Source organism: Homo sapiens, chromosome 11 (genome assembly GCF_000001405.40).
Source record: "Homo sapiens chromosome 11, GRCh38.p14 Primary Assembly".
NCBI classification, from domain to species: Eukaryota; Metazoa; Chordata; class Mammalia; order Primates; family Hominidae; genus Homo; species Homo sapiens.
This window is the reverse complement of record NC_000011.10, coordinates 126,326,218-126,341,031: the sequence shown is the minus strand read 5'-3', so window position 1 is coordinate 126,341,031 and position 14,814 is coordinate 126,326,218. Positions and strand designations below refer to the sequence as shown.

Below are 14,814 nucleotides of genomic sequence, written 5' to 3'. Positions count from 1 at the left end.
TAGCAACAATAGTTGTTTTGGGGAAGGGAAAGGAAGGGCTGTGGGGTGAGGAAGCATACTTTCACTGAATATCCTCTGTACTGTGTGCATTTTTGCCACATGCATGAACTAAACCTACAAGAAAATAAACAAATAAAAAAAAAGAACACACAGGTGATCCTTTAAGAGAACAGAAGAAGGGATGTTATAACCTCTAAGGAGGCACAGTCTCTAGCAAACAGGCACCTGATAAATACATGTTGAATGGATGAAAAAATGGATTATCTCTTTAATTCAGGGGCATCAGTTTGGAGACAGTAACTTCCAGGACCAGTGGCAGGAGGAGATTCAAGGTGGCTAGGAAAGCTCCTCAAAGCAAACACCAGGGTGCCTCCCTATCCCCAGCCCTTCCCTGTCCCAAAGACAAAGGATAGAAGCCCAGGCATGGCCTATCTTCCTGCTGGATACATTGCCTAATTCAAAGAGAGCTACCAATTCAGTGCTGTCACAAGTCAAAGATTTGAGACGCTAAAATACAGCATCATCAAAAGTCAAGTAAGAATTAAGGTCGGGCGCGGTGGCTCACGCCTGTAGTCCCAGCTACTTGGGTTGCTGAGGCACGAGAATTGCTTGAATCCAGGAGGTGGAGGTTGCAGTGAGCTGAGATCACACCACTACACTCCAGCCTGGGCAACAGAGTGAGACTCTGTCTCAAAAAAAAAAAAAGAATTAAGCAAATGTTAAGAAGGACCACACCTGCATCGCTATGAAGCAAAGTGTGACGTTTAAGCTGGCCCTTTCATGACCCTTGAGGACAAGTAATTCCAGCCCTGTGGCTGGCAGCCAGAGTGCAGCTCCTAAAGTCTTTCCTGTCTTAAAGGGGACAGAAAAAGGGAGGTTCCACTGGCAGCTGAAGCAGAGCCTGGAGGCACTGGGGTCAGAAGGACGGCAGATTTCTCTTCTCTGCCGTGGGCTCAAATGCATTCAGGGCTTCTGGAATACAGACGGACAAGTCTATTGTTGTCCCTCCATGACCTTAAGACTGCGATCCCCTGGCAAGCTCTTCAGTCTTCAAGAGTCTGGTGCGGCAGAAGGTCCTCCTCCTACCCCACACCTCTATGGCCCTGCTGGGATTCTCATTAACGGTGGGCCCCGCCTCCTGTGACCCAGGCTCTGACCCCGGATCTCTAGGTGCAGGGCAGCCCCACAAGACAGATGGGGGTTTGCAGAGCCACCACTCAGTTTGAGACAAGGGACCATCAGGTCCTACCTCTTCAAATGCCTACAGAGCCAGTCCTGGCTCCCTCCTTCAAGGCCTGAAGGTGGCACAGGCAGAGAGAAGCTGCAGGGAAGGGCAGAGTGGATGCAGGCGTCCCCTTAGCCTCTCACTGCAGCGCCCCACACAAGGAGAGCCCTCTTCTTTGAACTTACTTGGCTCTAGGGAATCATCGATCAATGCTGCAACTTCGGAAAATCCCTTCAAATTCTTTCCCACCCCTTGGGTCACATTTGGGAATTCCCACAAGCCTCTTGTCAAGAGACGAATTATGCTCACTTGCCTGTGTAACCCTGAGCCACAATCCCACCCCTTTACCCCACGTCAAAACTGAAGGTGTCATAGGCAGCCACAACTGGGAAAGCACAGGGAGCGAGCCCGCGGAGGGGCAGACGAGGCTCACTCCAAGGCACCTTCTCTACAAGAGTCTCTCCAGCCTTTGACGGGTGCAGAAACTAGACGGGCCCACCGAAAGCAGAACGGCACATCTGAGCCTGGATTACTCCACAGGTGAAAGTGCAGGAGAGAATATGTCTGTCTGCTCCCAGCACCCATGCCTGCCTGCCTACCTCGGCCTTATCCAGGCCCTTCTTCTGTTGCAGGCTGAGCACAGCCAGGTTCCAGTCTGTGTTAAGAACAGCACTCTCTGCAACACAGTGGCTCTGCCTGTTTCTGACCCTGTCAGGGTATAAAAGCTTCTGATACTCTCAGGTATAAAAGAGGTGGTGGTAAGTGATAACTCTGGTGGTGGGCTGGTCTGGGAGAGACAGAAGACCATAGGGAACTGGAAAGGGATACCTGTGAGGGAGGACGGCTCCTCCCAAACCTGCTCCTTAGGAAAGTAGGAGAAGCAGAGGTGCTTGGAGGCAGGGCACGGGGCCAAGGGGCCTGAGTAGAAGTCTGGGCTAAGCTACTCCACAGCTCGGGCTGAGGAGGAGATGCCTTGGGTTGGTCACCATGGTTCCTGCCTGCCAGTGCTTCAGAACACGGGCCTGCCTGGATCTGCTGGTGTCAAGGGGAATGGAGAAAATGGAAACACCCCACCCGAGGGCTCCAGATGCGGGTGGAAGCACAGGTGGCTGCCCAGACCACTTGGCTGGTAAGGAATGGCCTATGTAGTCATGGGCACAAACATCACCCCATTTTACCTCTTGGGTGGGAGGACAGCCAGAAAGGGCTTTAAGCTGACCCATTAAAGCAAAAGCACTTATGTATGACAGGTATCCACCCAGTCCCCACAGAGAGCTCAGGCCAACCCTTGTTGGTTAATTATAATCTGCTTAGAGACAGGCCAGCGTGAGAAAGAGGGCAGTCAGAAGGACCAGCACTTACAGCAGGGTGGCCAGAGATCAGGACATTCCAGCCAGAAACCTTTACCTGCTGTTGGTTCCACTTGAGGTCAGGGATGAGGACAAAACCATCAGAGGGATCTGGGTTCTCGAAAACAATCCGGTCCGCTTCAGCCTTCTTGTCGAGAATGTTATACACCCACTGAAAGGAGGGGGAGAGAGATGGTTCACAAATCCACTCATCACCCCTTGAGAGATACCCCAAACTGAGCTCAGGGCATTCCCTGGCCTCTCCAGGAGACAGAACCAAGCCATAAAAGGCCGCCACGCTCAGAGGATCTACATCCGGGCTGCCCTGTCCCCAAGCATCTGTTCTTAGGGGTCCAGAAGGGACTTCCCCCTTCCCACTCCAGCTGGCACTCAGCCATGCGTCATCACAAGGGTCTCTGCAGCTTGGAAGGGGCCAGGCTCTTCCTGGTCAGCATAGTGCACATGCTCTGCGGAGGCCTCCAAACCCAGGCTGTGTCTGCCCTCTATAGCAGTGACCCCCTCCACCGCTCACAGGACTCAGGGGAAGAGCTGCCTCCATGGATCCTATTTCACTCTATTCAGGACTATGGGGCAAAGAGAGGTAGGAGGCTGAGGGCACCACGGTTTCCTTCTGTGGAGGGGCCAGCTACCCACCAGAGCAGTGAGAGCCTTTGCCTCTAGCAGCTCATGTGTGCACGTTTCCCGCCGCACTGGGATTCTCATCAGCAGTGGGCTCAGCACCTCTGCCCGCCTGGAGCCGCTGCAGATGCCGGTTTATCAGCAGTCTCTGCTGACACAGACCCCGCATGGCAAAGCAGAAACGAAAGCTATGTAGAGACACAGAGACAGTGACCTCACCAAGACCTTTCAGGGCTACCCAGGGCTCCCAGCCCTTGTGTCACCCTTGGATCAGCTGCTGTCAACAGTCTGCAGAGGACCTTTCCCAGGCCTGTGTTGACCCAAGGACATTACTTTACAGAGATGGTCCTGGAGGCCTGTCTGAGGTTAGGAGGCTGCAGGAGGTTGGGCTGAGAAGGCCCCTGAGCTCACAGGCCTCAAACCCCAGTACCCCCAGCTCTCCTCTACTTCCCCCGGCTCTCAGGGCCCTTTGCAAACATGAACTCATGCAGGACAGTGAACTCTGCCCTACATCTGGGGGAGAGACCTGCTAGGAAACCAGAGAGGGGAGTGGCTGAGGACATACTACTGCCCCTTCCTCCTCACAGTCAGAATGGTCTCCGAGCTCACTGATGTAGGAGAAGGAGCCATGGACACGAGGTGGGATGGGGAGGCCAGGGAACCGACACTACCAGGCAGCCATCCATGGTCCTCCTTCCACTCCCAGAAGTGCTGGACAGGTAGCATCACCGAAGGCTAGAGGCACGGGGACTGCCTTATGGTCCACACAACCTCACACCTTGAGCCTGGAGGGCTGAACACACTGCATTGCATCCTCGCCTCTCAGCTGGGATGGACCGGGGGAGAGGGCAGCTGGGCCTCGAGGTCTCCTGCAACTCTCTACCCACAGGAAGCATTTCAGCTCAGAGGGCCCCAAACCCCTGACAAGACCCACAGGCCGGTCACAATGTGGTCCATTCACAACAAAAGACAGGCAGTTCCCAAGAAACCGAATGAGGCCCCTTCCTGGGAGGGGTCTGGAGGACACCTGGCAGCCACTTCCTCATGCAGTGCCGGGGCCAGAGCAATGCATGGCCAGTACATCCACAGAGGCATTTCCTCTCTGACCTGAAATCTCCTGGGAATGTGATGCCAGAGGAAGCCAGCGGAAATACAAGGGAGGGAGGGAGACGGCATTCCCTACAGACAGCCCCAACGCACCCCATAAGCAGGCCTCCCCACGGCCAGTCCCTGATTCACAGAAAAGGGGCATCTGCCTGTGACTAGTATAAGAGTGAGAGTGAACAGGTTCTGAGCCAAGGAGACCTGGTTTCATCTCCCAGCTGTCACTGGGTGAGCGACTGATGCCTCCTTTGTAAAATGGGGCTGATGATATCTACATAAGGGTGGTGAAGGTTTTCAGAGAACACGCACATGAAAGCACCTAGCACAGCCAGTATAAGGGAGACCCCCACGAGTGGCAAAGGTGGTGGGATGGTATGCCAGAGGCTACAAAACTGACTGGGGACAGGAAAAGAGGGAAAGGCGGTGAGAGCAAAGGAGGTGGTGAGAGAGGAAATAAGAGCGGGGCTGGAGGACGAGTGACTGCAGGAAGGAGTGATGACTGTGAGAGCAGCTGCACTCTGCCTGGCACTGCTCTCAGCGTCACAGCAACCCTGAGAGGTGGCTGCTATCATTGTCGCCATTTTTTTTTTTTTTTTTTTGAGATGGAGTCTTGCTCTTTCGCCCAGACTAGAGTGCAGTGGCGTGATTTCGGCTCACTGCAACCTCCGCCTCCCAGGTTCAAGCGATTCTCTTGCCTCAGTAGCTGGGATTATAGGTGCCCACCACCACACCCGACTAATTTTTATATTTTTAGTAGAGACAGGTTTTTTTGTTGGTTTTTGTTTTTTGTTTTTTCTGAGACGGAGTTTCACACTTGGCTGGAATGCAATGGCGTGATCTCAGCTCACTGCAACCTCCACCTCCCAGGTTCAAGTGATTCTCCTGCCTCAGCCTCCCAAGAAGCTGGGATTACAGGCGTGTGCCACCACACCCAGCTAATTTTTGTATTTTTAGTAGAGATGGGTTGCGTCATGTTGGCCAGGCTGGTCTCAAACTCCTGACCTCAAGTGAACTGCCCACCTTGGCCCAAAGTGCTGGGATTACAGGCATAAGCCACCGCGCCTGGACATTGTCCCCATTTTACAGTTAAGAAGAATGCAAGTGCAAGGAAGTTCACGCTGGGTCAGCCAATTCCAACCATGAGTATCTGGCTCCTGAGCCTGCACCCTGGGCCAAGGTACATCCTGTCTCCTGGGAGAGGCCTCTGGGACAGTGGCAGGGAGCTGCATCCACGGGAAGCCTCCAGGCCAGGGGCCCAGATAAAAAAAAAGGAGAATGAAAGAACAAAATTCACACAAACACAGAGAGCTATGTAATGGGGAGTGCCACCATCTGAAACCATGCCCAAGAACTTGGCCAGCCCTGCTGATAAACTGGGCAGAGGGTGATGCCATCAGCTTTCTGCAACTCACCTGGCTGGACTTCTTTGCAGTAGGTGACATTGGCAGCTCCCTCGGTACCCTCTCTCCCGCCTTGACCTCCCGTGAGACATCTTGCTCCTTCCTCATCACCTCCTGCTCTCTGCTTCTGCCTGCTGCCTTGCACTTCCCCTCCAGCCATGTGTGGCCTGGCCACGTCTCCCAGGTGTCTTAGCTCTGCCCATTGCTGTGCCTGTCCCTCTGAACAGTTACCTAGAGTAGGGGATGGTGGCTGCCATCCTGGCATCATTCTGTGCTGGAAACAATAGCAGGCACATGATATATGGCACCTCTCTCAATTTCCACAACACCCAGGAGGGAGGAGCCATTAGTTACATTTTTCAGACAAGGAAACCAGGGCTCCGAAATTAAGGACAATGTCACGCTGCTCTTAGATGACAGACTGAGAATCCAAACACCAGGCTGAGGTTGAAGTCTAGCTGGATGACTCACAAACAGACATTTGTAACTAGATGATCTCAAAGGCTCCAGATCCAGACATCCCACTGCAGTTTTTACTGGGAAGTTATAAGTACCTCACATCTAAGGAGCCAAATAGTATCTCTGGCTTAGGGCACAGATACTGGGACCAGACTGCCTGGCTTTGAGACCTGTCTCCAAAAGGGCTGCTGTGAAGAATAAATGAGGTGTGAGGCTGGGTGCGGTGGCTCACACCTGTAATCCCAGCACTTTGGGAGGCCAAGGTGGGCAGGTCACTTGAGGTCAGGAGTTTGAGACCAGCCTGGCCAACATGGTGAAACTCCGTCTCTACTAAAAATACAAAAATTAGCCCAGCATAGTGGCGGGCGCCTGTAATCCCAGCTACTTGGGAGGGTGAGACAGGAGAATCACTTGAACCTGGCAGGAGAAGGTTGCAGTGAGCCGAGATCACACCATTGCACTCCAGCTTGGGCAACAAGAGTGAAACTCCATCTCAAAAATAAATAAATAATAAATAAATAAATAAATGAGGTGTGATGCGCATAAATGCTTAGAGCAGTTCTTGGACTATACATAGTAAGTGCTCAATGAATTCCAAACTGAACTCACTGTCTTCCATGCAAACCCACTCTTCTGTTTCTGTCCCCTATACTGGGTCATGAATTATCCTTCTATCCACTCATCACCCAACCTCTTCCCTCCCCTCTGCACGTCAATCAGTTGCTAAGCCCCATCCAGCCCTGTGAAGACCTACCTCTTAAATTGCTCCAGAATCCTTCCCCACTGTCCCTACCTTGGTTCAGACCCATACTGGTTTTTCCCAGTCTTCCTGTTCTATGCTCACCCCCACTCCACCAATTAATTCTGCAAATCGGGCCATATCATCCACATGCTTAAAACCGTTTAGGGCACCCTCACTGCCTATGGCAACTGTTCTCACATCTGATGGTTGTCAGAAATATCAGAGAGAGAGAGAGAGAGAGAGAGAGAATTCCCAGCTCCACTCCCTGAAGCGTGAGATTCAGCAGATATGGAATAGTGCTCTGTGCTCGGTATTTATGAAAACCCCCAGGCAATCCTGATGGTAAGCAAGGTTCAGGAACTCCTGGCCCCCTGGACAAAGTCCACGTGCCTCCGCCTGGCCCCTGCCTACCATCTCAGTGCTGTCTCCTCTGACCCTCCAGCAGCCCAAGCCCCAGTCACACCAAACTCCTTGCAGCTCCCCCAAAGCATCGGATGATTCCAGCTCTGTGTGCCTCTGGACTTGCTCCTCCCTCCCCTTGTGCACCTGGTAAACTTCTATTTGTCCTGTAAGACCCAAGGGGAGGATCCTCTCCCTGTGAAGTCCCAACTGTCTGCGCTGGTCACTGTCCCTCTGCATCACCACGGTAGTTCGTCTAGGCATCAGAGTGCTTATCCCATTGTCACAATTGCCCGTTTACAAGTCTATCTTCCCTGTTACACTGTGAAGATCCTGTCTAGGTTTCATCATCTTGGTGACTCTCCAAAGCCTGGCATAGGACCAGGTCCATAGTAGGTACTCAGTAAACATAATGAGTGTTGCCAGTTAAGCTGAGTGCTTGTAAACTAGAAATAGCCAAGAAGGAATACATGAACGGCTCCCGTCAGTCAGGAGTTGGAAGAGTAGTGGAGTTTTCATTGTGCTCTTCTCCGAATGGAACTGCATAATGGTATATAATAAGGAATATACATGGCCAGGCACAGTGGCTCACACCTGTAATCCTAGCACTTTGGGAGGCCAAGACAGGCGGACTGCCTGAGCTCAGGAGTTCGAGGCCAGCCTGAGCAACATGGCAAAACCCCATCTCTACTAAAAATACAAAAAAGTAGCCAGGCATGGTGGCAAGCACCTGTAATCCCAGCTACTCACACCAACCACATCAGGGCTTCCTTACTTGAATCTCAGGTCTGCACAACCAGCACAACAGAACAACTGTTCCAGGAGATTCCCTAGGACCCTGAACAGCAGAAACTCTAAGAAGGTGGAGATATAGTTCCTTTTCACTTGGAAAACAGAACAAGTGCTGGGACTTTAAAAACAAACAAACAAACAACAACAACAACAACAAACAAGTCAGCTTGAGCCAGATGCACCCCACGCAAACTGCTGCCCAGGGAGACCAGGGCTGAACCAGGCTGGGGAAGGGGGCTGGCGGCACACAGGTCTCCCAAGGAAACTTCATTCCTGCAGGCCCTGTCAGCCTCCCTTTCCTTACTCCTGTCAAGTACAATTCACCTTGCAGTGCCCACACACACAGCGTACCCTCCCTTCTTCTGGGCCAGGGAGGAGTGGCTGTGAGTTCCTCACATCACAACACCCTCCACCACAGTGACCTGAATCTTGGGGAGAAAAGTGAGAAATGCTCGAAGAGAACAAGGGTGAGTGATAAAGACAAGGCACAGTGTCAGAGTCAGTGAGTGGGCAAGAAACTGACTCATCAATAAGCATCAGTCATATTTAACTCTGAGTACTCACATGGGGCCAGTTCCAGGCAGAGGCTCCAGTTGGCGCTGGGCCTAGGCCCAGGGAGGAGTCAGGATCTTGGAGCTAAATGGCCTTGCATCTGGCCTGGCCAGACGACTGCCAGCTTGTGAATGGAGTCCCTGCACCAAATCCCCGGGGCCAATGGGGTCCTGCCTTCTTTTGGACGAATGCAAGGGGGAGTCGGTGAGGGAAGAGTTTTTCCTCTGAGACTGAGATCCTGCAGGCCGGTTTGCCGCAGGTGAAACCAGGAATAAGAGTCTGGACAGGGTGGGACTCACTCAACATCAGCCTTTTACCCATTCATGGACCCAAAGCAATGGCACAGTCATCCCGAGGCTGGATCAAGGCTACTGCAGAGCAGACACACATTCTTCCAAAGGACTGGATTGCTTTGAGGTCCCCAGAGAGCCTCCATGGCATGCCCAAGCACATCAGGTGGGACCAAGACCAGCATCAGTTCCCCCACCCCCAAAGCCTTCTCTCGCCATGCGATATAAAATGGCAATTGCCCGCCCCAGGCCTTCTGGTCCCACTTATCCTGTCTATTTCTCTCTGCAGCCCTCATTATCTCACAGAGCACATAGATCCTGAGATATCTGTGTATGGTCACACACCGTGTGACTGTGCATGGGATGTAAGCTGCACGAGGTGGGGATTCTGTCCGCCATGCTCTCTACTGTACCCCCATCCCCTCGCCCAGCACAGCGCCTGGCCCCTAATATGACCCCAATAGACACTCGTAAGAGGAGGCACCAGCCACGGGAGCAGTGCTCTGCGTCTGAGACATGCAGCCAGTCACCTGGATGCTGAGGCTCTGGGACTCCAGGTGGGGTAAAGTAATATTCCTGTAGTCATCTCCCGTCTCTCGGATCAGGCGGAGGTCCTGGCGCAGGTACTTCTGCAGGTGTTTCTCTGTGGCAGGGTAAACCACGGTCGTCTTTACATCTGCAATGATACAGCACAGCCCGTGACAGGGAAGCAATGCCCACTCTCTATGCCACAGGCACCACGGTGAGGAGAGAACTCCCACCCTGGCTTTGATTCCCTGAGGGAAGCCAAAATCCAAGAGGATCATGCACCCAAGATCCACTCCCACAGAGTGCCTTGTGCCACTGCATTCACGAGCTGAGCCACACTCAGAATCTGGAAAACACAAGGTTCTTACCTGTGGGTCACTGGGCCCCTCATCAGGCAAACCCCAGCCCTTCCTGCTCCATCTTCCAGGCACAGGAATGAGAGGTCTCTAACTCTTCTCACATACCAAATTTCTAGGTATGTGGCTTTCTGGACCCAAAGCTGAAAATATGGCTTAAAGGCCGGGCGCAGTGGCTGACGCCTGTAATCCCAGCACTTTGGGAGGCCGAGGCAGGCGGATCACCTGAGGTCAGGAGTTCGAGACCAGCCTGACCAACGTGGAGAAACCCCATCTCTACTAAAGATACAAAATTAACCGGGCGTGGTGGCGCATGCCTGTAATCCCAGCTACTCAGGAGGCTGAGGCGGGAGAACCACTTGAACCTGGGAGGCAGAGGTTGCAGTGAGCCCAGATTGCACCATTGCACTCCTGCCTGGGCAACAAGAGTGAAACTCTATCTCAAAAAAAAAAAAAAAAAAAAAAAAAAAAAAAAAATATATATATATATATATATATATATATATATGGTTTAAAGCCCAGTAGTCCCCTTAATGATGGGCAGTGCAGCAGAGCGCAGTGGTTCCAGGCACAGACTCTGCAGCCAGACTGAGTTCAAGTCCTGGCTCTGCCTGCTCCTTATTCTGAATGGGACCTTGGCCCCACCCGGGAGCACGGTTCAGCTGTTTAACCTCTTGGTGCCCCTACTTCTTCATCTGCCAAATGAGGATAGTAAAAGCTCCTGTGTCATAAGGCTGGGAGGATTAAACAAGTCAATTACCTGTGAAGTTCTTAAAACAATGTCTGGCACACAGTAAACACCACATAAGTGCTGTGATGTTTAATCCAGGGTTTCTCAATCTCAGCACCACTGACATTTTGGCCTGGATAATTCTGTTGCAGGGGCTGTCCTGTGCATTGAAGGATGTTCAGCTGCATCCCTGTGGCCTCTGTTGGGATGTTAGTAGCACCCTCCCCAAGTTGTGACAACCCAAAATGTCTCCAGACATTGCCAATGTGTCCCCTGAAAGGAAAAAGTGTCCCCAGGTGAGAAGCACAGTTTTAAACTAGAAGGATGTCTTGCAGTTTTCCTAAACAGACTCTAGGCTAGCTTCCTGGTCCAAAACCACCTGGTTTTGGTTAAGTCCTTTCCTTTATTTTTAAAAACATCTGGTACAATTGTCATCATTACTCTAACATGTATACATTGTGTTTTAACATAGATCTTAGGGGTATTTCCAAATCAGCTTGGATCTTTCTCAAAAGACCCATGGTTCCCTCTGACTTTCTTAATCTGGGTTCGGATAGGCTCTCCCAGGGAAACCCGAGAGAGCTGAAAACCCAGCGGGCACATTTCACCACCACGAAGTCCTCATACTCACTCACACACCGCAAAACCCGGCTAAGAACTATCAACCTATACTTTCATATTTGGTCTGAGGTCATAGGTGGTTTTAACCCCGCTTTCATACGTCAGTGAAGAGGGTGGGCTGGGACTCAAAAGAGTCATCCAGTATCACACCGTGAAACGTGGCAGAGGCGAACCTGGAACTGAGGCCATCTCACCCTAAAGCCAGTGCTCCTGCAACACCACAGGCTACTTCCAATTTCTACTTCCAAGTCCCAGTGGGGATGCACAGAGATGACATACCAGGCACGTGGCTTCTGTCCCATCAAACATCCCAGGCCCTCAGCTCTGGGTGGCACAGCAGCACAGTGGGAAGACATGGCCACTGGCCCCAGGCTGGCCACATGACTCTCCATACTGGCTGTGTACCCTTGGGCATGGGGCTTAACGTCTTAGAGCCTTGGCTTCCTCACCTATTAAAGGGTGGTCATCAAATCTGCCTCACAGAGTTGTTTACATTCAATAAAACGTGTCAGCTGGATCACGAGTTGCTAAATAAATGTCACCCAATCCTGGGAATCCCCGGATCTGACCCTGAAAAAGGGGCATGAAGGCCTCCTCACAACTCTCTGAGGAGCAGCAAAAGACTCTTTCTTGCTTCTCACTCTGTTCTCTAACAGCTCAGCGTCATAGGTCATGGGCCAGAGGTCAGAGGTCAGGCACACCAAGATCTCAAGAGGCGGGAGACTGCTTGAAGTAGACTGAACGGCACCACCTTGGCCCTTGCAGTGGACCTGAGGGAAATCCATACATCTGCAGTGGAGCTTGGTGGATGAGAACAGAGATTTTGGAGCCAGTCAGCCTGGGTGCAAGTCCTGGCTCTGCACTTATTAGTGGCGTAACCTCAGGCTAGTGACTGACACTGTCTGTGGCTTCAGTCTCCTGACTTCTACAATCTGGGGTAACAATAACAGCACCTACCTTCCAGGGCTGTTGGGAGAATTAAACGAGTCAGTAGAAGGAAAGATTCAGGAAGTGCCTCACATGGAGAAAAGCGCTCCCCCCAGGCTAGCTTGGATTCTCTCCGCTGTTGCCTCCGTTGCCTGGGTTGGGCAGTGGAGCTCCCTGAGAGTGGGGGAGAGATGGGCAGGGCACAGAGGCAGAGCGGGCGCTGGAGAGCAGCCGGGTTCTGCGGGCAGGGTCACCCAGCCGGGCTCCCAGCCTGGGGCTCCTGGCTGCTCCAGATCAGAAAGCCACCCGGCCTGTGAGCATGCCCTGGTCTGCCGAGGCCTGTGGGAGACCTGCCCCAGCCACCCAGGGTGCAGGGAAACTGGCGTCTCACCCAGCCAGCCCCTCCCGCCTCCCCTCAGCAGCAAGAGCATCCACAGGTGCTTATTTTCCAACTGCTCACTTCCTGCCATCCTCCTGCCTTTCCTGAGGTGCACCTGCAGGGATGGGAACCTGACTGCAGGACTCTCAGAGCTCCCCACGTCCCCCTAGAGCACTCACTCCTAAGGGGCCTGGCTTCCCTCAGGTCTCCACCGAAAGCCTCAGTCAGGGCCACACTGAGGTGGGAGCTGCCACCCTCAAACTGTCCCCTGCTCCACAGCTCCCGCGCTTCCTGCCGTGGACTACGAGGCTGTTGGTCACCTCGCCCTGGCCCTCTTTCCACCTTCATGCACTGCCTCTCTCCCGCTTAGGGCCTCTGCTCCAGCCGCGCCGGCTCCCCACTGACCCACTAACTCGCGTCAGCCATGGGCTCCTCTCCAGGCCGTGCCCTGGCCGCTCCCACGGCCGAGCTGACCCTCCTACCCAACGAGCCACGCTGCTCCTCGCTTCATCCAGGCCTCTGCTCTGAGGCCAGCTCCTCAGGCTCGGTCAGCTCTGGTAAAACAGCAGCCCTAACCTCGGGGTCCTCTGTCTCCTCCACCAGCTTGCTTCCTCTTCACTTCTCACTCCCTCACAGCAGCAGGTGGATGGACTGTCTGACTCCCCAACTACTATGCAGCTTCCGGAAGAAAACAATTTGTCCCCAGCACCTGGAATAGTGCCTGGCATACAGTAAGCACTCAGTAAATACTTAGTGAACAAATGAATCAATGAATCTGGCCTTTTCGACTTAAACCCAGGAAGAGCATTTTTGTCCCAGATGAAATAAAACCTCTCTGATACAAATCAATATATTTCCTAATGCTAAGGTTTACGATGGCAGCCAAAAAACAATGAACGCTGGTGTTTACCTCAATGCCCGTCAAGATGTTGACCTGCAGCTGAACTTCAGGAGGAGTTTGGTCAGGAGTCAATGCTCAATAAACAATCAAACCATCAGGTGAAAACACGTTGGGAAACACGATACACAGGCACAGTCTCAAAAATATCTCCCATAGATTACTTATTAATTACAAAGGGAACACGAGTCGCTTTACAGCAGCAAAAGGCTACCACCTCGGCCAGGCCATGGGCGTCACCGTCACCCCTGCTGGGCACGCCGACATCATGTGCCTCCTGATCATGTGGAATTCTGGCCAAAAACGCATAACCTGAGTCCAGTCATGAGGAAATATCAGCAAACCAAAATCCAGGGGCATTCAACAAAACTAGTGGCTTTATAACACTACAAAAATGTCAAAGTTAGGAAGGACAAAGAAGGCTGAGGAATTGCTCCAGATGAAGGGAGACTAAAGAGACGGGACTAAAGGGATTGGATTAGATCCGGGGTTGGGATCCGGGGAGGGGCGCCCTGCACTGAAGCAACTGGCACAACTTAACTATGGACTGTATGTCACAGAAGTCTCATACGAATGGGAAATCTCCTGAAATTAATAATTTTACCCTTTTTTATATCCATCGTTATCATTATTCTACGTATATGTGGAGACAGAAAAAGCCAATGTGGCAAATGTTAACAGGTGAAGTCCTTTTATTTTGTTTTTTGTTTTTTTTTTTTGAGACAGAGTCTCGCTCTGTCGCCCAGGCTGGAGTGCAGTGGCGTGATCTCGGCTCACTGCAAGCTCCGCCTCCCGGGCTCACGCCATTCTCCTGCCTCAGCCTCCTGAGTAGCTGGGACTACAGGCGCCTGCCACCACGCCTGGCTAATTTTTTGTATTTTTAGTAGAGACAGGGTTTCACCGTGTTAGCCAGGATGGTCTCGATCTCCTGACTTCGTGATCCACATGCCTCGGCCTCCCAAAGTGCTGGGATTACAGGCGTGAGCCACTGCGCCCGGCCGTGAAGTCCTTTTATAAGGGAGTTCTTTGTACTATTCTTACAACTTTTCTGCAGGATTGGAATTTTTTTTAGTAGGAAAATTTTTTTTAAGGTGTCAATACCTTTCGGAACCTCAGCCCTATAACACTATTCTAAGCCTGACACGCAAAAATGAACTCATTTACTCCTTATGACCAACATGAACGGGTATTATTATGATTGCATTTTACATATGAGGAAACTGAGGCCCAGGGCCTGGAGTGGCCCCCAAGGACCCACAGCCCCGTGTGGTGCTCAGGGCCGGGACCCACACTGGCAGCCCCATCTGCCCACGGCAGGTCAGCAGAAGAGGCCCGGTGGCCTTGCCAGGCTCTCCCTGCCATACGCTGTCTGGCAAGTGGACTGAGGGCACCGCCTGCTCAGGATGAGTGATACCTGGCAACAC

The 14,814-nt window shown here is 52.3% G+C and overlaps 1 protein-coding gene across 2 annotated transcripts in view, besides 8 other annotated features; it reads right to left on the bottom strand.

Annotated features, from left to right (window-relative positions):
- Positions 1 to 14,814, bottom strand: part of DCPS (decapping enzyme, scavenger) — a 45,946-nt gene that overhangs the window by 8,974 nt on the left and 22,158 nt on the right. For both annotated transcript variants that reach the window (NM_001350236.2, NM_014026.6), the window contains exons 3-4: positions 9,482 to 9,627; positions 2,633 to 2,746 (exon numbers count right to left, since the gene is read on the bottom strand). In NM_001350236.2, coding sequence (NP_001337165.1) covers positions 2,633 to 2,746; positions 9,482 to 9,627 — 260 coding nt within the window. The remainder of the gene's footprint in view (positions 1 to 2,632; positions 2,747 to 9,481; positions 9,628 to 14,814) is intronic.
- Positions 795 to 1,994: an enhancer, noted in NCBI's record as "BRD4-independent group 4 enhancer chr11:126208933-126210132 (GRCh37/hg19 assembly coordinates)". NCBI's record gives its function as "activates an origin of replication core promoter dependent on BRD2, P300/CBP, MED14 and CDK7 cofactors, and independent of BRD4, by STARR-seq in HCT116 cells {active_cell/tissue: HCT116}" and the evidence as "EXISTENCE:reporter gene assay evidence [ECO:0000049][PMID:35650434]".
- Positions 2,917 to 3,478: an enhancer, noted in NCBI's record as "H3K27ac-H3K4me1 hESC enhancer chr11:126207449-126208010 (GRCh37/hg19 assembly coordinates)". NCBI's record gives its function as "activates a minimal SCP1, AML or CMV promoter by ChIP-STARR-seq in naive H9 embryonic stem cells {active_cell/tissue: H9 hESC(naive)}" and the evidence as "EXISTENCE:reporter gene assay evidence [ECO:0000049][PMID:30033119]".
- Positions 3,479 to 4,042: an enhancer, noted in NCBI's record as "H3K27ac-H3K4me1 hESC enhancer chr11:126206885-126207448 (GRCh37/hg19 assembly coordinates)". NCBI's record gives its function as "activates a minimal SCP1, AML or CMV promoter by ChIP-STARR-seq in primed H9 embryonic stem cells {active_cell/tissue: H9 hESC(primed)}" and the evidence as "EXISTENCE:reporter gene assay evidence [ECO:0000049][PMID:30033119]".
- Positions 4,043 to 4,605: an enhancer, noted in NCBI's record as "H3K27ac-H3K4me1 hESC enhancer chr11:126206322-126206884 (GRCh37/hg19 assembly coordinates)". NCBI's record gives its function as "activates a minimal SCP1, AML or CMV promoter by ChIP-STARR-seq in primed H9 embryonic stem cells {active_cell/tissue: H9 hESC(primed)}" and the evidence as "EXISTENCE:reporter gene assay evidence [ECO:0000049][PMID:30033119]".
- Positions 5,753 to 6,254: an enhancer, noted in NCBI's record as "H3K27ac hESC enhancer chr11:126204673-126205174 (GRCh37/hg19 assembly coordinates)". NCBI's record gives its function as "activates a minimal SCP1, AML or CMV promoter by ChIP-STARR-seq in naive H9 embryonic stem cells {active_cell/tissue: H9 hESC(naive)}" and the evidence as "EXISTENCE:reporter gene assay evidence [ECO:0000049][PMID:30033119]".
- Positions 7,383 to 7,884: an enhancer, noted in NCBI's record as "H3K27ac hESC enhancer chr11:126203043-126203544 (GRCh37/hg19 assembly coordinates)". NCBI's record gives its function as "activates a minimal SCP1, AML or CMV promoter by ChIP-STARR-seq in naive H9 embryonic stem cells {active_cell/tissue: H9 hESC(naive)}" and the evidence as "EXISTENCE:reporter gene assay evidence [ECO:0000049][PMID:30033119]".
- Positions 11,924 to 12,646: an enhancer, noted in NCBI's record as "H3K27ac-H3K4me1 hESC enhancer chr11:126198281-126199003 (GRCh37/hg19 assembly coordinates)". NCBI's record gives its function as "activates a minimal SCP1, AML or CMV promoter by ChIP-STARR-seq in naive H9 embryonic stem cells {active_cell/tissue: H9 hESC(naive)}" and the evidence as "EXISTENCE:reporter gene assay evidence [ECO:0000049][PMID:30033119]".
- Positions 12,647 to 13,371: an enhancer, noted in NCBI's record as "H3K27ac-H3K4me1 hESC enhancer chr11:126197556-126198280 (GRCh37/hg19 assembly coordinates)". NCBI's record gives its function as "activates a minimal SCP1, AML or CMV promoter by ChIP-STARR-seq in naive H9 embryonic stem cells {active_cell/tissue: H9 hESC(naive)}" and the evidence as "EXISTENCE:reporter gene assay evidence [ECO:0000049][PMID:30033119]".